Here is a 24,428-nt window from a genome sequence, read left to right on the forward strand (position 1 = left end):
GGCGGGTCCCTGGCAAAACCCTACCTTCCAGCTGAAAAGCCTGAATCCTGTGGCCCAAAGTGAGAATTTCTATCCATCCGTTTGCCTGCTCTCTCCTGATTGGTTCTTTCTGAATCGTGCCTTTTTACCAATCAGATGTTGCCTTTTCCAAAACTACCTACAGCCCACCCCACCTCCCATCCTGTACCTATAAAGACCCACCCCCCCCAGACCCCAGACTCAGTTGGTAGGGAGAGAGAAGTGGCTTGACTAGAGAGAGGCGACTTTACTTCAGAGTGAAGAAGCTAGACTTCAGAGGAGAAATGGCTTAACTTCAGGGAGATGGCTTGACTACAGGGAAGAGCCATCCAGAGAGGCCAGGCTTCAGGGGAAGATTACCTGCCCGTCCCATCTCCTCTCCAGTTCACCTCTCTGCTGAGAGTCATTTCTACTGCTTAATAAAATTCTCGCCTGGCGCGGTGGCTCACACCTGTAATCCCAGCACTTTGGGAGGCCGAGGCGGGCAGATCATGAGGTCAGGAGATGGAGACCATCCTGGCTAACACAATGAAACCCCGTCTCAACTAAAGATACAAAAAATTAGCTGGGCGTGGTTGTGGTGGGTGCCTGTATTCCCAGCTACTTGGGAAGCTGAGGCAGGAGAATCACTTGAACCTGGGAGGCAGAGGTTGCAGTGAGCCAAGATCAGGCCACTGCACTCCAGCCTGGGCGACAGAGCAAGACTCTGTCTCAAAATAAATAAATAAATAAAAATAAAATAAAATAAAATAAAATTCTCCTCCTTTGCTATCCTTCAAGTGTCCAGGTGACCTCATTCTTCTTGGACACTAGACGAGAGCTCAGGACCCACCAAGTGCGGGTACCCGAAAAAGGTCGTCATACTGGCCCTCTGCCCTCACTGGCAGAGAGCAGCCACCCCACGTGGCAAAGCAAGGAGCCTACCGAGCTGATAACACACTGCTGTCCATGGACAGCAGAGCTAAGAGAGCACTGTAACATGTCCTCTGGGGCTTCAGGGTTTGCAGGCACCCCGACCTGGGCACCGCCATGGGGCCTGCATGGAGCCTCCTTCTGCCCACGCCCAGAGCAGCCAGCGGGATCCTGCACTTGCTCGCCCACATGCTCCCTCCCACAAGGGTTGAGCATGGCGGGCTGGCCTAGACAGGGCACCCCCATCGCAAGTCCAACAAAGAAGTCAAGAAAAATCCTGCATCGCCTCCAGGAAGGAGGAGAACTTGTGGTAGGAGCTTTATGCTGAATAGGTTGACTAAACATACATATTCAACAGGTTGCAGGAGGTGCTATGAATATTCATCAAGGTGGTCCCATGTTCACTTTGTGGTGAATTAATATTTAGATGTATTACAATTAGGCCCTATATGTCAAGAGGATTGTTTAGGGACATGAAGGCACACAACGGCCAATCTCTGCAAAATGGCCAGAACTGGTCCATGGCCAGTGGTCTAATTCTTTTTTTTTTTTTTTTTTTTTAAGACAGGGTCTCGCTCTGCCACCCAGCTGGAGTGCAGTGTTACAATCACGGCTCACTGCAGCCTCAACCTCCTGGGCTCAAGCGATTGATCATCCCGCCTCAGCCTCCCAAGGAACTGGGACCGCAAGTTATAGAGACGGCGTTTTGCTGTGTATTGACCAGCCTGATCTCCAACTCCTGGATTCCAGTGATCTTCCTGCCTCAGACTCCCAAAGTGTTGGGGTTATAACCATTAGCTACCGCACCCAGCTGTTGGTCTTATCAGAAGAGTAACTGAAATTAGTCTTTTGTCCAATGAAAGCTATAGTTAGGCTAGTAGAACAGGAGTTCAGTTAGTCAGCGTCCGGGAGCTGAAGGAGCTGCAGTTGTTTGAGTGTTGCTTATCTTGAGGCCAATGCTTGTTTGTATTTATTTATTTATTTATTTATTTATTTATTTAATACATCCTTCATTGGAAGCCAGTGCTTATTTGGCTGCTAGAGAAAAACAAAACAAAACACCTTTTGCCAGTTAGAGGACAGTTATTTTATTTTATTATATTTATTTTTTTGAGATGAAGTCTCACTCTGTCACCAGGCTGGAGTGCAGTGGCACGATCTCGGCTCACTGCAACCTCCGCCTCCCGGGTTCAAGCGATTCTCCTGCCTCAGCCTTCTGCGTAGCTGGGATTACAGGCACCTGCCGCCATGCCCAGCTAATTTTTTGTATTTTTAGTAGAGACAGGGTTTCTCCATGTTGGTCAGGCTGGTCTCCGACTCCCAACCTCAGGTGATCCGCCCGCCTTAGCCTCCTAAAGTGCTGGGATTACAGGCATGAGCCACCGTGCCTGGCCCTTGGCCCCCCCCCCACCCTTTTTTTTTTTTTTGAGACGGAGTTTCACTCTTGTTGTCCAGGCTGGTGTGCAATGGCATGACGATCTTGGCTCACTGCAACCTCCACCTCCTGAGTTCAAGCGATTCTCCTGCCTCAGCCTCCCAAGTATTTGGGGGCAGGTACCACCACCCCCGGCTAATTTTATATTCCAAAGTTACCACAGTACTTACAGCACCCTCAGCCTGGGTGTCTAAGCTTATCATCCCATGCGCCTCCTCCCCTGTGCCAGACAACCCCACTAATGACTCTGGCCTGTGCACTCATTCCGCCTGGACCCCAACAACATCCCCGACTCCCTTTAGCCACTCTGCCCAGTCTCCTATTCACCCCATGCCAGACCTCTCACCAGTCCCACCATGCCGGGCACTGGGCATCCGCTGTTTGGACCACCCTCCCCTCCCGTCCCCTCCCTTGCCTTCCCCTTCCCTCCCCTCCCCACGGAGTCTCGGAATGCAGTGGCGCCATCTCGGCTCACTGCAACCTCCGCCTCCCGGGTTCAAGAGATGATTCTCCTGCCTCAGCCTCCTGAGTAGCTGGGATTACAGGCGCATGCCACCACCCCTGGCTAATTTCATCATGTTGGTCTGGCTGGTCTCGAACTCCTGACCTGGTGATCTGCCCGCCTCGGCCTCTCAAAGTGCTGGGATTACAGGCGTGAGCCACCACATCCGGCCTTGGACCCCTTTTCTTTCTGGAGCCCTTCACCTCCCCAGGCAAGCCCAGGTATCTCCTTGGTATCCCACATTCCCCCATTAGAGTAACCATCACAGGGGATTGTGATTAAGTATCTGCTCCCCAGACAATGAGCTCCCTGGTGCCACCACATACCTGTCTCTTGTCCACCACTGAGCTCCCATGTCCAGCCAAAGGATTGGCACACTTAATTAGTTGAATGAATGAAGGAATGTGGCTTTACCGACAATTGTAATTTTCCTTTTTTTTTTTTTTTGAAATGGAGTCTTGCTCTGTCACCCAGGTTGGAGTGCAGTGGCGCAATCTCGGCTCACTGCAACCTCCACCTCCCAGTTTCAAGCGATTCTGCTGCCTCAGCCTCCTGAATAGCTGGGACTACAGGCACACGCCACAATGCTGGGCTAATTTTTATATTTTTAGTAAAGATGGGGTTTCACCATGTTGGGCAGGATTGTCTCGATCTCCTGACCTCATGATCCACCTGCCTTGGCCTCTCAAAGTGCTGGGATTACAGGCGTGAGCCACTGCTCCCGGGCTTTTTTTTTTTTTTTTTTTTTGAGATGGAGTCTGGCTCTGTTGCCCAGGCTGGAGTGCAGTGGCGTGATCTTGGTTAACTGCAATCTCCTCCTCCCGGCTCAAGCAATTCTCCTGCCTCAGCCTCCCAAGTAGCTGGGATTATAGGTGTGTGCCACCACGCCCAGCTAGCTTTTTTATTTTTAGTAGAGACCGGTTTTCACCATTTTGGCCAGGCTGGTCTCGAACTCCTGACCTCATGTGATCCACTCACCTCAGCCTCCCAAAGTGCTGGGAATAGAGGCATGAGCCACTGCTACCGGCCGACGATTACAATTTTAAAACGTAGTTGTGCCCAGCTCTTCGCAGTTATGGAAGGGCTGATACACCGTCCTCTTTCCATCCTCACCAAAGCCCTATGATTTGGGAAAGGGAAGATTTTATCCCTATTTCTTTTTTTCTTTTTGAGACGGAGTCTCGCCCTTTGGCCCAGGTTGGAGTGCAATGGGTGGATCTCAGCTCACTGCAACCTCTGCCTCCCGGGTTCAAGAGATTCTCCTGCCTCAGCCTCCTGAGTAGCTGGGATTACAGGTGTGTGCTACCAAGCTTGGCTAATTTTTTTTTTTAATCTTTAGTGGAGACAGGGTTTCACCAGGTTGGCCAGGCTGGTCTCGAACTCCTGACCTCGTGATCCACCCACCTCGGCCTCCCAAACTGCTAGGATTACAGGCGTGAGCCACCGCGCCCGGCCTCATCCCTATTTCATAGAGGGGTAAGCTCTAGAGAGCTGAAGTGGCAACACTTGATTCTATCTCAGGTCGGCCTGATCTCAATCCTGGTATTTAGTGTAAGACCCAGATAGGTGGCCAGAACTGAAGACCCCTTGACTCCAGCTCTCAGAGAGACACTGTCTAGCGGCGAGACCTGGCACTTTTGCAAACAACTCCAGAACAAGGGGGAGAGTGGCGACAGTATAAGAGCATGCTGCGGGAAGTCAGGGGCGGTAGTATTTGAAAATGGGCGCTTGGAGAGTGGGAAGGATTTGTCCTTGTGTGGAACAAGAATAGAGGATCCTAATACGAGGGCTCAGCCTGCTTTGGCGTACTCCAAGAAAGCCCCTTGGAGGTCTGACTGCTCCGCTTCAGCCCCTTTAAGAATGGCCCCGCCCCACCCAGCCGCCCATGTCGATCTAATCTGAATGACCAATAGTAGAAGAGAAGAGACCACTTTCGCGCTTCAACCGCACTAGGAGGAGGGGAAGAGGGCGGGAGAGGCGGAATATAAGCTTGGTCACATGACCCGCCTAATTGGCCAGAGGCTGCGGCGGCCCTGAGAGACTCAGCGATGCTCATTGGCCAGAAGAGGGTGGGGGCTTGGCGCTAGGCCACGCCCCCGGGCGGCCGGTTTGGTTGCGCAGCCGCCGGGGAAGGAGACGCTGCCCTTCCGCAGCGATGGCATCCCGGGTGAGTATCGGCCCCGGCCGAGCCCCCAAGGCGGGCGGGCAGCGCGGCAGGGCCGGGACTTGAGCGGAGGACCGAGTAGGCGCAGGTGTCCGGGCCCAACAGGACCAGGAAGGTGTCGGGGTTGGAATGAGTGGGTACCCGGGCCGGGGACGGTGCGAGAGGGTGCCTTGCTTGGGAGCGGAACGAGAAGGTACTTGGGTCAGGGAGGTGATGCCCGGGCCTGGAACGTGGCGGGGATTGGAGCAGGCGCGCAGGTACCCGATCCGAGGCGGGGAGAGCACCCGGGATGGAAGGAGCAGGCGTGCGGGCCGTGAGCGGCGCCAGAGGGTACCTGGGTGAGTTTCAATGATATTCCGGGGTGGGGGCAAGAGAAGAAGGGGCTGCCCAAGATGCCTGGGGTGGAGTGAGCAATTTCTGAAGACGGGGATATTGCTGAGGTCCAACGCGGGGATGCCCGGTGCCCGGCATGGTGGGACTATTGAGGGGTCCGGCATGGGGTGAATAGGAGACTGGGCAGAGTGGCTCAAGGGAGTCGGGGACGTTGTTGGGGTCCAGACGGAATGAGTGAGTGCACAGGCCAGAGTCATTAGTGGGGTGGTCTAGCGCAGGGGAGGAGGCGCGTAGGATGATATGCTTAGGCACCCAGGCTGAGGGTGCTGTAAGTGCTGTGGTGACGGTGGAATGAGGAGGTGTCCGCCTAAGATTGTAGGGCACAAGAGATGGCTGCCCAAGTGGGGCCAGGCCCTACACAGCAGTAGAAGTGTCCATTTGGTAGGGGACCTTGCCGTGGGCTTTTCATTGTGGAGAGGAGGTGGAGGGGTCTCAGCTTAGGCCCTGGAGGACGGACAGGGTGCCAGGGGGACGGACACAGTGTGGGTTGACTGGATTTGGATCCATCCCTGGAGTGAAGCAGGCTTGGGGGCTGGTGATGTTACCTCGCACCTGCAGGCTCTGCCTCCCAGTGGGGACAGCAGGGGCTGCTCTGGACTCTCCCGCAAACAGTGGGCCTCAGTCACCCCTGTAGCGTTTATTTGTTCAGGCTCATCTTTAACACCATGTGGGCTTCTCACTTGGGGGCCCAGAAGTCCTACAGTTGTGGCCTGGAAGGAGCAGTGGCAGTTGTAGCAGGCAGAAGCTGGGAAACCCTGCCACAGCCTTGAGATCCCCCAGAGCTTGGCCGCTTAGTACTCGGTGACCTCAGGCAGGCTGCCTCATCTCAGAGCCTCCGCGTTTCCCCATCCTTGAGATAAACATTGGCCATTGCGAGGGTTCTGAGAGGACTGGACCCAAAGCCTGTCGTGGAGAGCCTGTTCTGGATCTGGCCTGGAATAAGAGCTTGGGAAATAGTAGCTGCTGGCCCTCTGATGTTCTTGTCTTCCCTCTTTCTGAGACCTGAGCCAGCCTGGGGTTGGGGTGAAGGGTAGGGGGACGTGGCTTACAGTATTAACCTAGGTCCTGACCACTGCAGCTCACGTAGCTCAATTCACAGCCTCCTGGGCAGATGTCTCTACCCCTGACAACCTGGAAGCTTCCTTAGCCTGCCCTGCCCTCTCACACACCCCCACCAGCCCTAGAGCGAGACTGACAGGCTCCTCAGTCCTTCCCACTCACTGGGGAGAAGCTGTTTCTTCTGCTGGCCCAGTGACTTTGGCGGCCATCCCAGGGAGACAGGGTCTGTCCTGGCTTGTGTGTTCCTTCCGCTTGAGGTCCCGGGAGACCTTGAAGGCATCCTTGGGCTTGGAGCTGGAAGTGGGGGAGGACCCTGCCGGGTCTTGGGGTCCAGGCTAGGTGTGATCAAGCCACTTATTTCCTGGCCTTGGGAAGGGGCAATGGGGTACCCTGGCAGGGAGGGGAGTATCTCCCAAGGTCCAGGGGAAAGCTGCCCAGTACTCTGTGGTCTGCTGGGGCTTGCTACTTCCTGCTGCATGTCAAATTTAGCAAAAGCATTGTACTGAGCACAAAGTCTGACTCTACCAAGTACCAGCTGTGTGACTTTGGACTCCTGACTTAGCTTGTCTGAGATTCAGTTTCCTCATTGGAAACCAGAGGTGAGGCTGGGGGGAAGGTGGGTGGCATCAACTTCACATAATCCTTTTTTTTTGTTTGTCTTTTTTTTTTTTTTTTTTTTTTTTGTGGCAGAGTCTCGCTCTGTCACCCAGACTGAAGTGCAGTGGCGCGATCTAGGCTCACTGCAACCTCTGCCTCCTGGATTCAGGCGATTCTCCTGCCTCAGCCTCCCAAGTAGCTGGGATTACAGGCACGTGCCACCACACTGGCTAATTTTTGTATTTTTAGTAGAGACGGGGTTTCACCATGTTGACCAGGCCAGTCTGGAAGTCCTGACTTCAGGTGATCCGCCCGCCTCAGCCTTCCAAAGTGCTGGGATTACAGGCATGAGCCACCCCAGCCAACCTCACAAAATTCTAATGATTCAGTGAGATGATGGATGTAAAGAATGCAGCACAAAATACGTAGCGTGGAGTAGCTCTTTGTTTGTGTGTGTGTGTGTGTGTGTGTGTGTGTGTGTGTGTGTGTGTGTTTTATTTTATTTTATTTTTTTGTTTTTTATTTATTTATTTTTTGAGATGGAGTCTCACTCTATTGCCCAGGCTGGAGTGCAGTGGCGCGATCTTGGCTCCCTGCAAGCTCCGCCTCCTGGGTTCATGCCATTCTCCTGCCTCAGCCTTCCGCGTAGCTGTGATTACAGGTGCCCGCTACAACGCCCGGCTAATTTTTTGTATTTTTAGTAGAGATGGGGTTTCACTGTGTTAGCCAGGATGATCTTGATCTCCTGACCTTGTGATCCTCCCTCCTCGGCCTCCCAAAGTGCTGGGATTATAGGCGTAAGCCACTGTGCCCAGCTTCTTTATTTTATTATTATTATTATTATTTTTTGAGACAGAGTTTTGCTCTGTAGCCCAGGCTGGAGTGCAGTGTTGTGATCTCAGCTCACTGCAACCTCTGCTTCCCGGGTTCAAGCGATTCTTCTGCCTCAGCCTCCTGAGTAGCTGGGGTTACAGGTGTGCACCACCACGCCCAGCTAGTTTTTTGTTTGTTTGTTTGTTTGTTTGTTTGTTTGAGACTGAGTTTTGCTCTTCTTGCCCAGGCTGGAGCGCAGTGGCCCCATCTTGGCTCACTGCCACCTCCACCTCCCAGGTTCAAGCCGGTTCTCCTGCTTCAGCCTCTTGAGTAGCTGGGATTACAGGTGCGTGCCACCACACCCAGCTGATTTTTGTGTTTTTTAGTAGAGATGGGGTTTCACCATATTGGCCAGGCTGGTCTCAAACTCCCGACCTCAGGTGATCCACCCATCTCGGCCTTCCAAAGTGCTGGGATTACAGGCGTGAGCCACCGTGCCCAGCAAGAAAACATTCTTAACTTTGTGGGAGGTAAAAAGATGCAATGATTCTCAGTCTGGGGTCTAAGATTTTTGCTTAGCAAATGGTCCATGGGTTGAAAAAGGTAGAGAAAATGTGGCTTAAAGCCCTAAGTCTGAGAGTGACCTGTCCACCTCCCAGGTTCTGGGTCCTCTCCTGGGCTGGCTGGCCAGAGATGTTTCCGCTCGCAGGGCCCCTGGTAGGCAGAGGGTCTGTGGGTGTGGGGCTGCCTGCTGGCGGGCAGATGCAGAGGCCTGGGGCCTGATTCCAGGCCTGGGGTTCCAGAGGCAAGCTTTGCTCCTGCCTCCTCCCCCATGGACGCTCTTCTTGAGTGCATTTCTGCATGTTCCCGTGTGCACGTTCTCTTATCTGACTTGGTCATCTGTCTCTTAGCTCTGTGGAGGGGCCCTCTGGTATGTGTGTCCCTGTCCTTCTGGGGCGTGGATGGTGCCTGGGACCCAGCTGGCAACCAGTTGAAGACGTTCTCCTTGGAAGCTCTTGGCCCTGAGGACTTTGCCTGGGGCATTGGCCCTGCCATGGCGTTCCGGAGGGCCGAGGGCACGTCTATGATCCAGGCCCTGGCCATGACGGTGGCCGAGATCCCCGTGTTCCTGTACACGACGTTTGGGCAGGTAAGGATCAGGGTGGGTTGTACCTCTGGTCTATGAAACACTTCCATGCTCAGCCAAGGGCTCCTCCGTGTCCAGGAACGCTGAGCCCTCGTTCTTGCTTTGCCAAACCTCTGGTGTCTCCTCTTTGGACTGGGTTTGTTGTCTGAGGCTTCAGGCCTGTTCTTTAGCCTGAGACTATACGAACTCTTTTTTTTTTAATTAATTAAAAAAATTGTATTGGCCGGGTGCGATGGCTCACGCCTGTAATCCCAGCACTTTGGGAGGCCGGGACGGGCGGATCACCTGAGGTCAGGAGTTCAAGACCAGCCTGGCCAACATGGTGAAACCCTGTCTCTACTAAAAATACAAAAATTAGGCGGGTAGGCTGGGCACAGTGGCTCATGCCTGTAATCCCAGCACTCTGGGAAGCTGAAGCAGGTGGATCACCTGAAGTCAGGAGTTCAAGACCAGCCTGACCAATATGGTGAAACGCTATCTCTACCAAAAGTACAAAAATTAGCCAAGCATGGTGGTGTGCACCTGTAGTCCCAGCTACTTGGGAGGCTGAGACAGAATTGCTTGAACCCAGGAGGCGGAGGTTGCAATGAGCTGAGATCATGCCACTACACTCCAGCCTGGGCGACAGAGCGAGACTCCGCCTCAAAAAAAAAAAAATTAGCTGGGCATGGTGGCAGGTGCCTGTAATCCCAGCTACTTGGGAGGCTGAGGCGGGAGGATCACTTGAACCCAGGAAGCGGAGGTTGCAGTGAGTCGAGATCGCACCACTGCACTCCAGCCTGGGCAACAGGGTAAGACTCCGTCTCAAAAAAAAAAAAGTTTTTCGTAATAGAAATAGGGCCTTGCCATTTTGCCCAGGCTGGTCTTGAACTCTTGGGCTCAAGCCATCCACCTACCTTGGCCTCCTAAAGTGCTGGGTTTATAGGCATGAGCCACTGCACCTGGTCCTATATGAACTCTTGACCTCAGTTACTCAGTCTGTAAAAGGGGTCAGTGCCCTCCCTGACAACTCACATGTTTGTGGCTGACTGGGATCTTGACCGAAGATCTGCCTTGTGGGGTACAGTCCCATCTGAGGGGCTCCCAGGCCTGGGGGGCAGAGGGTGAGGTGCAGCAGTAGGAATTGTTCAGATGGGGTGGCAGGTGAGTGAGTGTCATCATCTTTGAGGCATCACTGAGAAATGGGGGTCAGCAGATCTGGGTTTCATGTCTGCCTCTGTCACCTTGAGTATATGTCTTCATGTGGGTGAACCTCAGGTTCCTCGTCTGGAAATGACAGGGACTCAGATGGGTACCCCAGGCTAGGTCCTAGTGCAGTGCCGGGCACAGCTGGTGCTTGTTCACTGCGGCTTGTGTGCTCATGACTGAGGGTGCTGGCCCCTAGACCTCACCTTCTCGGCACTGGCATCTTGCCATCTTTATGTTTTTGTGGCCTGTGTTTCAGGGAGGCTGGTCAACTTCCCCGTCTAGGGTGGCTGCCTCTCAGTCTCTCATCTGGTCGGCAGATGTGCCGGAGAGCCGGTGTGTGTCCCGTCCCTGAGGTGCTCTGGGGCGGTCCTGCTGCCTTGGACCTTCCCCAGGGAGGTGTAACCGGCAGCGTCTCCTCTTCCCTGCAGTCTGCATTCTCCCAGCTACGGTTGACGCCAGGCCTGCGGAAAGTCCTCTTTGCCACGGCCCTGGGGACTGTGGCCCTGGCCCTGGCTGCCCACCAGCTGAAGAGGCGACGGAGGAGGAAGAAGCAGGTTGGTCCCGAGATGGGAGGGGAGCAGCTGGGCACGGTGCCCCTCCCTATCCTCTTGGCCAGGAAGGTCCCTTCAGTGAAGAAAGGTAGGTGTGAGGTGGTGGGCATAGGCCTGACCTGAGGTCACATCCTGGGGTCATATCCCAGCTGGGTCACTCTCTACTTGGGGATATTGGGCCAGTGTCTTCCTGTCTCAGAGCCAAGGTCTCCTGATCTGTGAGCGGGATGACAGTAGCGTCCCTCCCTCCAGTCACTGTACTGGAGGGTGATGTGGTTGGATGCGCATGCTCCATTGGTGGAGGTGGTTTTGGTTGTTCTCATTAGCTGAGGACCCTTTGGGAGCACCTTGGTCAGAGGGGGTCGGGGATGTGGCTCCTGGGTCCAGAGAGGGATGTTCCCCAGGCTGAGGAGCAGGAAGAGCCATGTGGTTCTTGAATGATGCAGTATTCCTCCCATTCCCTTCTCTCTTAAAAATTGAGGTTTAGGCCGGGCGCGGTGGCTCACGCCTGTAATCCCAGCTCCTTGGGAAGCCGAGGCGGGCAGATCACAAGGTTAGGAGATCGAGGCCATCCTGAATAACACGGTGAAACCCCGTCTCTACTAAAAATACAAAAAATTAGCCGGGCATGGTGACGGGCACCTGTAATCCCAGCTACTCAGGAGGCTGAGGCAGGAGAATGGCGTGAACCCAGGAGGCGGAGCTTGCAGTGAGCCGAGATTGCGCCACTGCACTCCAGCCTGGGTGACAGAGCGAGACTCCGTCTCAAAAAAAAAAAAAATTTGAGGGTTAATTTGCATGCAGTAAGATTCGTACTTTTTAGCATACTATTCTGTGTCTTTGACACATAGAGTCATCCGACCACCACCATAGTTAGGAATCATTCAGCTGGTTGGAAGGTAGTGAGTTCACTCAGTCGATTGCTCACAGTCACAGATCACACTCCTTCTGTTCTCTCTTTTTTTTTTTTTTTTTTTTGAGATGGAGTCTTGCTCTGTCACCCAGTCTGCAGGGCAGTGGCACAATCTCGGTTCATTGCAGCCTCGGCCTCTTAGGTTCAAGAGATTCTCCTGCTTCAGCCTCTCGAAAAGCTGGGACTACAGGCACGTGCCACCATGCCTGGCTAATTTTTGTATTTTTAGTAGAGACGGGATTTCGCCACGTTGGCCAGGCTGCTCTCGAACTCCTGAGCTCAAGTGATCCGCCCACCTCAGCCTCCCAAAATCCTGGGATTACAGGTGTGAGCCACCGCACCCGGCCCCGGCCATCTTTCTACTCTTTTTTTTTTTTGAGACGGAGTCTCACTCTCTGTCACCCGGGCTGGAGTGCTGTGGCATGATCTTGGCTCACTGCAACCTCTGCATCCCGGGTTCAAGCGATTCTTCTGCCTCAGCCTCCGGAGTAGCTGGGACAACAGGTGCGTGCCACCAAGCCCGGCTAATTTTTTGTATTTTTAGTAGAGACAGGGTTTCACTGTATTAGCCAGGATGGCCTTGATCTCCTGAACTCGTGATCCGCCTGCCTCGGCCTCCCAAAGTGCTGGGATTACAGGCATGAGCCAACCTGCCCGGCTTTTTTTTTTTTGAGACAGAGTTTCGCTTGTGTTTCCCAGGCTGGAGTGCGGTGGTCTGGTCTCTGCTCACTGTAGCCTCTGCCTTCCGGTTTCAAGCAATTCTCCTGCCTGAGCCTCCCGAGTAGCTGGGATTACAGGTGCATGAAACCACGCCCGGCTAATTTTTGTATTTTGAGTAGAGTTGGGGTTTCACCATGTTAGCCAGGCTGGTCTCGAACTCCTGACCTCGTGATCCACCCGCCTTGGCCTCCCAAAGTGCTGGGAGCCAGGCATGAGCCACCGTGCCTGGCCCCTTCTTCTACTCTTTTTCCCAGCTTCTCACTACTACACTTAACTAGTCTTAAAAAAAAAAAAGAACTGTTCTATCGTTGTATCACTCTCTAAATGCCCTGTGTCCTTCTGTGTCAGCTCTGGTAGCCACTGCTCTATTTTGTGGCTGCTGCTGTGGTTGTAAAAACTCTTACGGCTCCTGTTAATCTTGTAATACAGACCCGGTGTTTGCTGCATTGAAGTGTTGTCTTGATCTCTTTGCAAGGCCAGGAGTTCTCATCTTGGGAGACTTGTTTTTTTTGAAACACAGTCTCACTCTGTCACCCAGGCTGGAGTGCAATGGCACAGTCTCGGCTCACTGCAACCTCCACCCCCTGGGTTTAAGCGATTCTCCTGCCTCAGCCTCCCGAGTAGCTGGAATTACAGGCATGAGCCACCACACCCAGCTAATTTCTGTATTTTTGGTAGGGATGGGGTTTCACCATGTTGGCCAGGCTGGTCTGTGTTGGCCAGGCTGGTCTGTGTTGGCCAGGCTGGTCTCAAACTCCTGGCCTCAAGAGATCTTCCCGCCTTGGCCCCCCAAAGTGCTGGGGTTATGGGTGTGAGCCGCCGTGCCCAGCTGAAACTTGTTTTAAGAAGCAAAAGTAAGGCCAGGCGCGGTGGCTCATGCTTATAATCCCAGCACTTTGGGAGGCTAAAGCAGGCGGATCCCGAGGTCAGGAGTTTGAGACCAGCCTGGCCAACACGGTGAAACCCTGTCTCTACTAAAAATACAAAAATTAGTCGGGTGTGGTGGCAGGCATCTATGGAGGTGGAGCTTGCAGTGAGCCGAGATTGTGCCACTGCACTCCAACCTGGGCGACAGAGCGAGACTCTATCTCAAAAAAAAAAAAAAAACGAAGCAAAAGTAGCCTGTGATTTCAGCACTTTGAGAGGCTGAGGTGGGCGGGTCACCTGAGGACAGCAGTTCCAGACCAGCCTGGCCAACATGGTGAAACCCCCTCTCTACTAAAAATACAAAAATTAGCCAAGCATGGGGGTGCATGCCTGTAATCCCAGCTATTTAGGAGGCTGAAGCAGAAGGATCGCTTGAACCCGGGAGGCAGAGGTTGCAGTGAGCCGAGATCACACCACTGCACTCCAGCCTGGGCTATGGAGTAAGACTCTGTCTCAAAAAAAAAAAAAAAAAAAAAAAAAAGCAAAAGTAGACCGGGTGTGGTGGCTCACACCTGTAATCCCAGCACTTTGGGAAGCCAAGTCGGGAGAATTATTGAGTCCAGGAGTTTGAGACCAGCCTGAGCAGCATAGAGAGACCCTGTCTCTATAAATAATTTTTTTTTAAAAAGAGAAAGAACATAAATTAGCTGAGTGTGGTGGCTCATACCTGTAATCCCAGCAATTTGGGAGGCAGGAGGATTGTTTGAGGCCAGGAATTCAAGACCAGCCTGGGCAACATAGAGAGTCGCTGTCTCTGTTAAAAAAATAAGAAGCAAAAGTCTCCTGTGAAAATAAATTTTAATTGTGTATTATTGTTGCAAAAGGAAAGTATTATCTTTAGAATTGGAAAAATAAGTGTTTTGTTTTTTTTTTTTTGGTTTTTTTTTAGACGGAGTCTTGCTCTGTCGCCAGGCTGGAGTGCAGTGGTGCCATCTTGGCTCACTGCAACCTCCGCCTCCCGGGTTCAAGCAATTCTCCTGCCTCAGCCTCCTGAGTAGCTGGGACTACAGGTGCGTGCCACCACGCCCAGCTAATTTTTTGTGTTTTTAGTAGAGACAGGGTTTCACCATATTGGCCAGGATGGTCTCCATCTCTTGACCTCCTGATTTGCCCGCCTCAGCCTCCCAAATTGCTGGGATTACAGGTGTGAGCCACTGCGCCCGGCCTAGAATTGGAACAAGAAGTCTTGAGACTAATATGGAAGAGGACCCTGAGAGACACTCAGGCAGCCTAATTTTGTGTCTGTCCTGGGAAACCTGGAGTCATCTGCACAGCGTTTAGCTTCTGTGCCCTGTCCCACTCTGCCTGCTCTCATTTCACCTTATTTTCCCTTCCCTACTTTTCTCACTTCTAACAAAATATTGGCCATGTATAGTGGCTTGTACCTGTAATCCCAGTACTTTGGGGCAGGTGGATCACTTGAGCCCAGGAGTTTGAGACCAGCCTGGGTGGTATGTGGAGGCCCTGTCTCTGTTTTTTTTTTTTTTTGGAGACAGAGTCTTGCCCTGTCGCCTAGGGCAGAGGGCAGTGGCACAATCTTGGCTCACTGCAACCTCCGCCTTCCAGATTCAAGCAGTTCTCATGCTTCAGCCTCCCGAGTAGCTGGGAGTGCTACCATGCCTGGCTAATTTTATGTTTTTACTAGAGACAGGGTTTCACCATTTTGACCAGGCTGGTCTCAAACTCCTGACATCAGGTGATCTGCCCACTTCGTTCTCCCAAAAGTTGGGATTACAGGTGCGTGCCACCACACCCGGCTTTCTTTGTTTTATTTTATTATTATTTTTTAATTTTTATTTACTTTTTTTTTTTGAGACAGTCTCACTCTGTTGCCCAGGTTGGAATGCAGTGGCACAATTTCAGCTCATTGCAACGTCCACCTCCCAGGATCAAGCGATTCTCCTGCCTCATCCTACCAAGTAGCTGGGATTACAGGCGTGTGCCACCACACCTGGCTAATTTTTGTATTTTTAGTAGTGACGGGGTTTCTCCATGTTGGCCAGGCTGGTCTTGAACCCCTGACCTCAGGTGATCCACCCACCTCGGCCTCCCAAAGTACTAGGATTACAGGCATGAGCCACTGTGCCCAGGCTATTTTGTTTTGTATTTTTGAGACAGAGTCTCACCCTGTCGCCCAGGCTGGAGTGGAATGGCGCAATCTTGGCTCACTGCAACCTCTGCCTCCCGGGTTCAAGGATTCTCCTCCTCAGCCTACCAAGTAGCTGGGATTACAAACAGGTGCCACCATACCTGGCTAATTTTTTGTGTTTTTAGTAGAGACAGGCTTTCACCACGTGGGCCAGGCTTCTCTCGAACTCCTAATCTCATGTGATCTGCTGACCTCAGCCTCCCAAAGTGCTGGGATTACAGGTGTGAGCCACTGTGCCCGGCCCTGTCTCTATTTTAAAAAATAACCTTTGGTGCATTTCATTAAATTTTTTTTTTTGAGACATTCTTGCTCTGTTGCCCAGGCTGGAGTGCAGTGGCACAGTCTTGGCTCACTGCAACCTCCGTGTCCCAGGTTCAAGCGATTCTCCTGCCTCAGCCTCCTGAGTAGCTGGGATTACAGGCGTGCGCCACCCCATCTGGCTAATTTGTGTATTTTTATTATAGATGGGGTTTTACCTTGTTGGCCAGGCTGATCTCGAACTCCTGACCTCAAGTGATCCACCCACCTCGGCCTCCCAAAGTGCTAGGATTACAGACATGATCCACCCAGCCCATCCTAAAAAAATTTATATATATATATGTATATATATTTGAGACAGGGTCTCACTCTGCTTCCCAGTCTGGAATGAAGTATTGCGATCATGGCTTACTGCAGCCTTGACCTCCCAGGCTCAATTGATCCCCCACCCTCAGCCTCCCAAGTAGCTGGGGCTGCAGGCCACGCCACCACACTTGGCTAATTTTTGTATTTTTTGTTGAGACAGGGTTTCGCCATGTTGCCCAGGCTGGTCTTGAACTCCTGGGCTCAAGCAGTCCTCCCCCATCTCGGCCTCCCAAAGTGCTGGGATTATAGGTGTGAGCCACCGTGCCCGGCCTTTTGTATATTTTTAAAAGTTGTCGTCTCACATCTCTTTTGCAAGGAGAATTCTAAACCATTCTCTCAATCAGCAGCCCAGAGAAGGCTAAGCAAGGAGGCGGGAAAGCAGATGGACCTCATTCTTGGCTTATCTGGCAGATCGGGACTCCTCTCCTCGGCCTGGCCCTGTGCCCTGTGGCAGGGATATGGCAGGGATGTGGTCATGAGCAGGACATGGAGGGCCCCGCGCTTTTCTCCTGAGTGCACGCCCTTGGGGCCCCTCTGTTCCCCTGACTTAGAAGGTCGGGACCGATTCCCAGATGAGGAAGAAGGGGAAGGTGGTCCAGAGTGGGGGCAGCCCGTGTAAAGGCCACAGGGGATGCCTGTGTGACGCCTGCCCTTCTGCTCCTCACAGGATACTCCAGCCGGAGAGTCCAGAGCCCCAGCAGCAAGAGCAACGACACCCTGAGTGGCATCTCTTCCATTGAGCCCAGCAAGCACTCGGGCTCCTCCCACAGTGTGGCCTCGGTGAGCAGCAGGTGCCAGGGCTCCAGGGCTCCAGGTCCGGGCTTACCCCTGCTGAGGACTCTGCCCTCAGCAAGCTTATAGACTGGTAGAGTCCATTCATTCATTCTCTCTCTCACTCCTCCACCCACGCGGGCTTTCAGGGATTGTCCCTAATCACTCACTGTGCCAGGTGTTGGTGGGAGAAAGGTGGGCTGGTGCAGAGGAGAGAAACTGATGGTCTCCTGGGGAGACCTGTACCTGTGAAAGTGCAGGTTATTCATTCATCAGCCACTGACAAGCACCTGCGTTATACCAGGGACTCTGTCAGGCACTGGAGGTGTAGAGATAAACAAGGCAGAAGCTTGGCTTCTTCTGGGGTGTGGCTTTTGGTTCATTCACTCATCCAGCAAGCAGAGTCCCAGCTATGAGCCAGGCTGGCACAGGGGCAAGCAAGAGCTGGTTCTTGTCCTGGGGCTGCCAGCCACTCGTGTGGATGAGAGGCAGGACCCTGGCACAGAATGGGTACTCTCTGTCTTCTTGTTCAAGGGGTAGAGGAGCCCCGGCATAGGGGATGGATACAGCAGTCAGGAGCAGGGCTCAGAGGGATTCCCAGGTTCCTGGGCTGGGTGTTGGTCTCAGGATTCCTTCCTGCTTTGGTGGCTTCTTTCTATGAAGCACCATCAGGCAGTTTGTGGGTCCAGGCCATTCTGAGGGTGTGGACGCTGTGGCTAGGAACAAGCTCAGGGATGGCATTTGGAGGGGGCGTGTGGCCCATGGTCAGGCAGTGGAGGAGGGCTCAGGGGGGCCCTGCAGAGAGCCCGGGAAAGCTTCACTCTTTCTTCTTGCACTGATTGGCGCCCAGATGATGGCAGTGAACTCATCCAGCCCCACAGCCGCGTGCTCGGGACTATGGGATGCCAGAGGGATGGAGGAGTCTCTGACCACCAGCGACGGCAATGCAGAGAGCCTGTACATGCAAGGTGTGGCCAGGAGGTGCCTCAGCTTCGAGGGCAGGGTGGGTGGCAGGAACAGTCCCTTCCTAGGAGCTTGGCCAGTCTTGGGTCACTTTGCCCCTCACTACCCTGCCCCAAATCCCAACTGGGTGATTTCCAGCCATTTCTGAACAAGGGACAGTGTCTAGGAACAAACCTGGTCTGAAAGAAGGCCTGGAACCTGAGCAGCCCAGGCCACACGGTCCCACCCAGTTCTTGCCCTTCAAGGCCCTCCTGCCTCCTTGATGTTCTGAGCCCCCTCTTGGGTGAGACTGTGGAGGTGCTGACCCACGCTTTTCGCCTCACCTGTGCTCAGGCATGGAGCTGTTTGAGGAAGCTCTGCAGAAGTGGGAGCAGGCACTAAGCGTGGGCCAGCGGGGGGACAGCGGCAGCACCCCCATGCCCAGGGACGGCCTCCGGAACCCAGAGACTGCATCAGAGCCACTGTCTGAGGTAGGTGGTCTTCTGCATCCCCCTACGCCCATGGGATAAAGTTGGCAGCACAGGAGAGGGGCGGCCACACCTTGGGAGGCAGGCAGTCTCCTGTCCTCTGAGACTGCTGATTTCCCTCTATGAGGGTGTCTTGATGTGAAACAAAACAATTCATGTCACGTGCTCAGCACAATGCCCGGCGCTTGGTAAAAACAGCCGTACTGAGACTCACACCCGCCTCGACCCTGTGAAGGGCAACGTGTGGTCCTGAAAGGCTGGAAGGGAAGGCGCCTCTGTTGAGGGTTGGCTGCATTGCCTGGCCTTTGTTTTGTTTTGTTTTGTTTTGTTTTTGAGATGGAGTCTCGCTCTGTTGCCAGGCTGGAGTGCAGTGGCGCAATCTTGGCTCACTGCAACCTTCACCTGCCAGGTTCAAGCGATTCTCCTGCCTCAGCCTCCTGCGTAGCTGGGATTATAGGCGCCCGCCACCACATTCAGGTAATTTTTGTATTTTTAGTAGAGACAGGGTTTCACCATGTTGGCCAGGCTGGTCTTGAACTCTTGACCTCATGATCCACCCTCCCTGGCCTCCCAAAGTGCTGGGATTACAGGCGTGAGCCATCGTACCCAGCTGTTTTTTTTTTTTTTTTGAAATGGAGTCTTGCACTGTCACTCTGGCTGGAGTGCAGTGGCGCAATCTTGGCTCTCCGTAACCTCCGCCTCCTGGGTTCAAGTGATTCTCCTGCCTCAGCCTCCTGAGTAGCTGGGATTACAGGTGCCTGCCACCACACCCAGCTAATTTTTTGTGTTTTTAGTAGAGACGGGGTTTCACCACATTGGCCAGGCTGGTCTTGAACTCTTGACCTCGTGATCCGCCTGCCTTGGCTTCCCAAAGTGGTGAGATTACAGGTGTGAGCCACTGCACCCTTTTTTTCTTTTTTTTTTTCCTTTGAGACAGAGTTTCGCTCTTGTTGCCCAGGCTGGAGTGCAATGGTGCGATCTTGGCTCACTGCAACCTCCGCCTCCCGGGTTTAAGCGATTCTTCTGTCTCAGCCTCCCAAGTAGCTGGGATTATAGGCGCATGCCACCCCATGTGGCTAATTTTTGTATTTTTAGTAGAGATGGGGTTTCATCGTATTGGTCAGGCTGGTCTCGAACTCCTGACCTCAGGTGATCTTGACCTCAGGTGATCTGCCTGCCTCGGCCTCCCAAAGTGCTGGGATTACAGGCGTGAGCTACCGCGCCTGGGCTTTTTTTTCTTTAATACACTTTTTTGGGGACTTTTTGGGCAACATCCAAGTTTTCAACAGTGAATTATTTATTTATTTATTTATTTATTTATTTATTTTTTTTTTTGGAGACGGAGTCTCACTCTGTTGCCAGGCTGGAGTGCAGTGGCGCGATCTCGGCTCAGTGCAACCTCCGCTTCCTGGGTTCAAGAGATTCTCCTGCCTCAGCCTCCCAAGTAGCTGGGATTACAGGTGTGCACCACCACGCCCAGCTAATTTTTGTATTTTTAGTAGAGACGGGGTTTCACCATGTTGGCCAGAATGATCTCCATCTCTTGACCTCATGATCCGCCCGCCTTGGCCTCCCAAAGTGCTGGGATTACAGGCGTGAGCCACCGTGCCTGGCTTATTTATTTATTTATTTATTATTTTATTATTTTTTTTTAAGACGGAGTCTTGCTCTGCCGCCCAGGCTGGAGGTGCAGTGGCGTGATCTCGGCTCACTGCAAGCTCTGCCTCCCAGGTTTACGCCATTCTCTTGCCTCAGCCTCCCCAGTAGCTGGGACTACAGGTGCCTGCCACCATGCCCGGCTAATTTTTTGTATTTTTTAGTAGAGACGGGGTTTCACCATGTTAGCCAGGATGTAATTAATTAATTAATTAATTAATTAATTAGAGACGGAGTCTCACTCTGTTGCCCAGGCTGGTGTCCAGTGGTGCGATCTCGACTCACTGCAAGCTCTGCCTCCTGGGTTCACGCCACTCTCCTGCCTCAGCCTCTGGAGTAGCTGGGACTACAGGTGCCTACCACCACGCCCAGCTAATTTTTTTGTATTTTTAGCAGAGACAGGGTTTCACTGTGTTAGCCAGGATGGGCTTGATCTCCTGACCTCGTGATCCGCCCGCCTCGGCCTCCCAAAGTGCTGGGATTATAGGCGTGAGCCACCGCGCCCAGCCTGTAATTTATTTATTTTTAAGGTGTGGCCTCACTCTGTTTTCCAGGCTGGAGTGCAGTGGCGTGATCTTGGCTCACTGCAGCCTCCACCTCCTGGGTTCAAGCGATTCTGTCTCAGCCTCCTGAGAAGCCAGAGTCAGAGGTGCCTGCCAGCACGCCCGGCTAATTTTTGTATTTTTAGTAGAGATGGGGTTTTACCATGTTGGCCAGGGTGGTCTCGAACTCCTAACTTCAAGTGATCCACCCGCCTCGGCCTCCCAAAGTGCTGGGATTACAGGCTTGAGCCACCACACCCAGCCTACAGTGAATATTTATTATTGCAATATCAGGAAAGGAAAATGAAGTTAAAAGGCTAAAATTTAAATTTTTGTGGCCAGGCACGGTGCCTCACACCTGTAATCCCAGCACTTTGGGAGGCCGAGGCAGGAGGACCAGTTGAGCCCAGGAATTTGAGGGGATGGGGCCACTTTTGGCAGCGGAGGTAGAAGGAGGAGGGAGGATTTCTCTGCCTATTCCTCCCTCACCCTTGCCTTCATTCCTCTACCCGTGTGTCCCATTGGCCGAGAGCCAGCTGGCAGGGGGACCTGGGAAACAGGTTGCAGAACAAGGGGAGGGCTGTGTCTGGCACAGCTGGTAACAAGTTGAAGGTGTCCATGCTCTCTGTCCCTGCTGGGGCGTGAGCTCAGGATGTGAAGGTCAGGGAAATACCTGAGGTTTGAAGTGACTCAAACCCTTGAGTGCCTGCAGTTGCAGCTGCGTCAGGTCCTGTCTGCGAGTCGGCAGGGAACGGGCACCTGTAGGAGTGTGTTGGTGAGGGGGACTCAAGGGAGGTAGCTTTATTTCCCAAATTGTATTTCTTGCTAAAAACTATATCTGAAAATGATAGAATTTGCATTGTTTTCCTTGTTGTGAAAGCAATTACATATTCCTTATCAAATAATGAAAAGTACAGAAATAGGAAAGAGAAGGGGGTGTAAAATAGTCTGATCCCAGACTCTGATCAGACAGCCCATGGTTGTGTGGTGTGGCACCCTCGGCCTCCTGGAGCACTGGCGCTCTGTGGGGGCGCCAGCACCAGCTGTTCAGGCCTGGTCCATAGTAGGTGCTCAGTTAATGATCTGTGGCATATCTACATGCCAGGACGCCTACAACCTTACAATCCTACAAGGGGTGCCTGCAGCCCTTCATCCAGGCATCACCACTTTCTATTCCTTCAGGCATTTTTTTCTGTCTATTGCTATAATTTTTTTTTTTTTTGAGACGGAGTTTCGCTTTTGTTGCCCAGGCTGGAGTGCAGTGGCGCAATCTTGGCTCACTGCAACTTCTGTCTCCCAGGTTCAAGCGATTCTCCTGCCTCAGCCTCCCGAGTAGTTTGGATTACAGGCATGTGTCACCACGCCCGGCTAATTTTTTTTGTATTTTTAGTAGAGATGGAGTTTCACCATGTTGGCCAGGCTGGTTTCTATCTCCTGACCTCAGGTGATCCGCCCGCCTCGGCCTCGCAACGTGCTGAGATTACAGGCATGAGCCACTGCGCCTGGCCTATTGCTATAATTTTTAAACAGTTTTATTGAAATATAGGCTGGGCACAGTGGCTTACACTTGTAATTCCAATACTTTGGAAAGCTGAGGTGGGAGGATTGTTTGAGCCAGTGAGGGAGAAGTTCAAGACCAACCTGGGCAACATAGTGAGACTCTGTCTCAAAAAAATTTTTTCTTGAGACGGGGTCTTACTCTGCTGCCCAGGCTGGAGTGCAGTGGCGTGACCAATTAGCTGGGTGTCATGGCATGTTCCTGTGGTCCCAGCTACTCGGGAGGCTGAGGTGGGAGGATCACCTGAGCCCAGGAGTTCAAGGCTGCAGTGAGCTATGATTGTGCCACTGCACTCCAGCTTGGGCAACCCTGTCTCTACAAAAAGAAAAAGAAAAGATATAATTCACATAGCATCTAAACTGTACAATTGAGTAGCTTTTGGTATATTCACAAAATTGTGTATCTATTATCACAATCAGTTTTGGAGCATTTTTATCCCAATAAGAAACCCCTGGTCCAGCATGGTGGCTCATACCTGTAATCCCAGTGCTTTGGAAGGCCGAGGTGGAGGAAAATTTCTTGAGCCCAGAAATTCAAGACCAGCCTGGGCAGCATAGTGAGAGCCCATCTCTGCAAAAAATTAAAAAGTTAGTTGGGCATGGTGGCGCACACCATGTGGTAGTCCCAGCTACTCAGGAGGCTGAGGCAGTAGGATCCCTTGAGCCCAGAAGGTCAAGGCTGCAGTAAGCCATGATTGTGCCACTGCATTCCAGCCTCTGCAATAGAGTGAGACCCTGTCTCAACAACAACAAAGAAACAACAACAAAGAAACCCCATGTACTTTGGCCATTCCCTTCACATTCCTTCATTTCCCCCCAGCTCTAGGCAACCACAAATCTATTTTCTCTACATCTGGATTTGCCTATCACGGACGTTTCTAGAAATGGGATCACAGAATATGTGGCCTTTTGCGACTGCCTCCTTTCACATAGCAGAGTGCTTCCAAGGTTCATCTGTGTTGCAGCATGAATCACTGTTTTGTTTCTGTTGTATAGATGGACCACATTTTGTTTATTTGTTCATCAGTTGGTAGATATTTGGGTTGCTTCCATTTTTTGGCTCTTATGAATAATGCTGCTGTGAACATTCATGTACAGGTTTTTGTGTGGACATATGTTTTCATTTCTCTTGGGTATATACCTAGGAGTGAAATTGCGGGGATCACATGATAATTCCATGTTTAACTTTTTTTTAAGACGGAGTCTCGCTCTGTCGCCCTGGCTGGCGTGCAGTGGCACAATCTCGGCTCACCACAACCTCCACCCCCCAGGTTCAAACGATTCTCCTGCCTCAACCTCCTAAGTAGCTGGGATTACAGGCGCACGTCACCACGCCTGGCTAATTTTTGTATTTTTTTTCTTTTCTTTTTTTTTTTTTTTGAGATGGAGTCTCGCTCTGTCGCCCAGGCTGGAGTTCAGTGGCGCGATCTTGGCTCACTGCAAGCTCTGCCTCCTGAGTTCATACCATTCTCCTGCCTCAGCCTCCTGAGTAGCTGGGATTACAGGTGCCAGCCACTATGCCCAGCTAATTTTTATATTTTTAGTAGAGACGGGGTTTCTGCGTGTTGGCTAGGCTGGTCTTGAACTCCTGACCTCAGGTGATCCACCTGCCTCGGCCTCCCAAAGTGCTGGGATTACAAGTGTGAGCCGCTGTGCCCAGCCAATTTGTGTATATTTTATGGTAGTAAATGATAAAGACTAGTATCTACATATATTTTATGTATTTGTGACGTATCTTTTTCATAATTTTTTCAGTATCTCTAGGCTAAGTGGGTTCATCTCTGAGGTTTTTCAAATTGTCATAAATTTCCAAAAAATTCTTCTATATACTTATTGAAAAATATCTGGCCAGGGGCCTCGCGCGGTGGCTCACGCCTGTAATCCCAGCACTTTGGGAGGATGAGGTGGGCGATCACGAGGTCAGGAGATCAAGACCATCCTGGCTAACACAGTGAAACCCCGTCTCTACTAAAAATACAAAAAATTAGCCGGGCGTAGTGGCGGGCACCTGTAGTCCCAGCTACTCAGGAGGCTGAGGCAGGAGAATGGCATGAACCTGGGAGGCGGAGCCTGCAGTGAGCTGAGATTGCACCACTGCACTCCAGCCTGGGCGACAGAGCCAGACTCCATCTGAAAAAAAAAAAAAAAATTTGGCCGGGTGCAGTAGCTCACACCTGTAGTCCCAACACTTAGGAGACCAAGGTGGGAGGATCACTTGAGTCTAGGAATTCAAGACCAGCCTGGGCAACATGGTGAGATCCTGTCTCTACAATAAATACAAAAATATTTGCCGAGCGTGGTGGTGGGCACCTGTAGCCCCAGCTACTCAGGAGGCTGAGTTGGGAGGATTGCCTGAGCCC

The 24,428-nt window shown here is 52.3% G+C and overlaps 1 protein-coding gene across 11 annotated transcripts in view, besides 2 other annotated features; it reads left to right on the top strand.

The window, feature by feature from the left end:
- Positions 4,964-5,093: a silencer, noted in NCBI's record as "silent region_20358". NCBI's record gives its function as "represses an Ori minimal core promoter by ATAC-STARR-seq in GM12878 lymphoblastoid cells {active_cell/tissue: GM12878}" and the evidence as "EXISTENCE:reporter gene assay evidence [ECO:0000049][PMID:35858748]".
- Positions 4,979-24,428, top strand: part of MIGA2 (mitoguardin 2) — a 35,457-nt gene continuing 16,007 nt past the window's right edge. For 5 of the 11 annotated variants that reach the window (NR_138423.2, NR_138425.2, NR_138424.2 and 2 more), the window contains exons 1-6: positions 4,979-5,034; positions 8,805-9,043; positions 10,657-10,867; positions 16,780-16,892; positions 17,734-17,851; positions 18,180-18,316. Coding sequence is in view for 5 of the 11 variants with exons in the window: in NM_001329990.2 (NP_001316919.1) it covers positions 8,948-9,043; positions 10,657-10,867; positions 16,780-16,892; positions 17,734-17,851; positions 18,180-18,316 (675 nt within the window). In the remaining 6 variants the exon portion in view is untranslated. Of the gene's footprint in view, positions 5,035-5,286; positions 5,370-8,804; positions 9,044-10,656; positions 10,868-16,779; positions 16,893-17,733; positions 17,852-18,179; positions 18,317-19,652; positions 19,774-24,428 lie in introns of those variants that run through there. The other 6 variants (XR_007061362.1, NM_032809.4, XM_047423975.1 and 3 more) reach the window with 3 other exon arrangements.
- Positions 5,434-5,563: an enhancer, noted in NCBI's record as "active region_29101". NCBI's record gives its function as "activates an Ori minimal core promoter by ATAC-STARR-seq in GM12878 lymphoblastoid cells {active_cell/tissue: GM12878}" and the evidence as "EXISTENCE:reporter gene assay evidence [ECO:0000049][PMID:35858748]".

Source organism: Homo sapiens, chromosome 9 (genome assembly GCF_000001405.40).
Source record: "Homo sapiens chromosome 9, GRCh38.p14 Primary Assembly".
Lineage (NCBI taxonomy): Eukaryota > Metazoa > Chordata > Mammalia > Primates > Hominidae > Homo > Homo sapiens.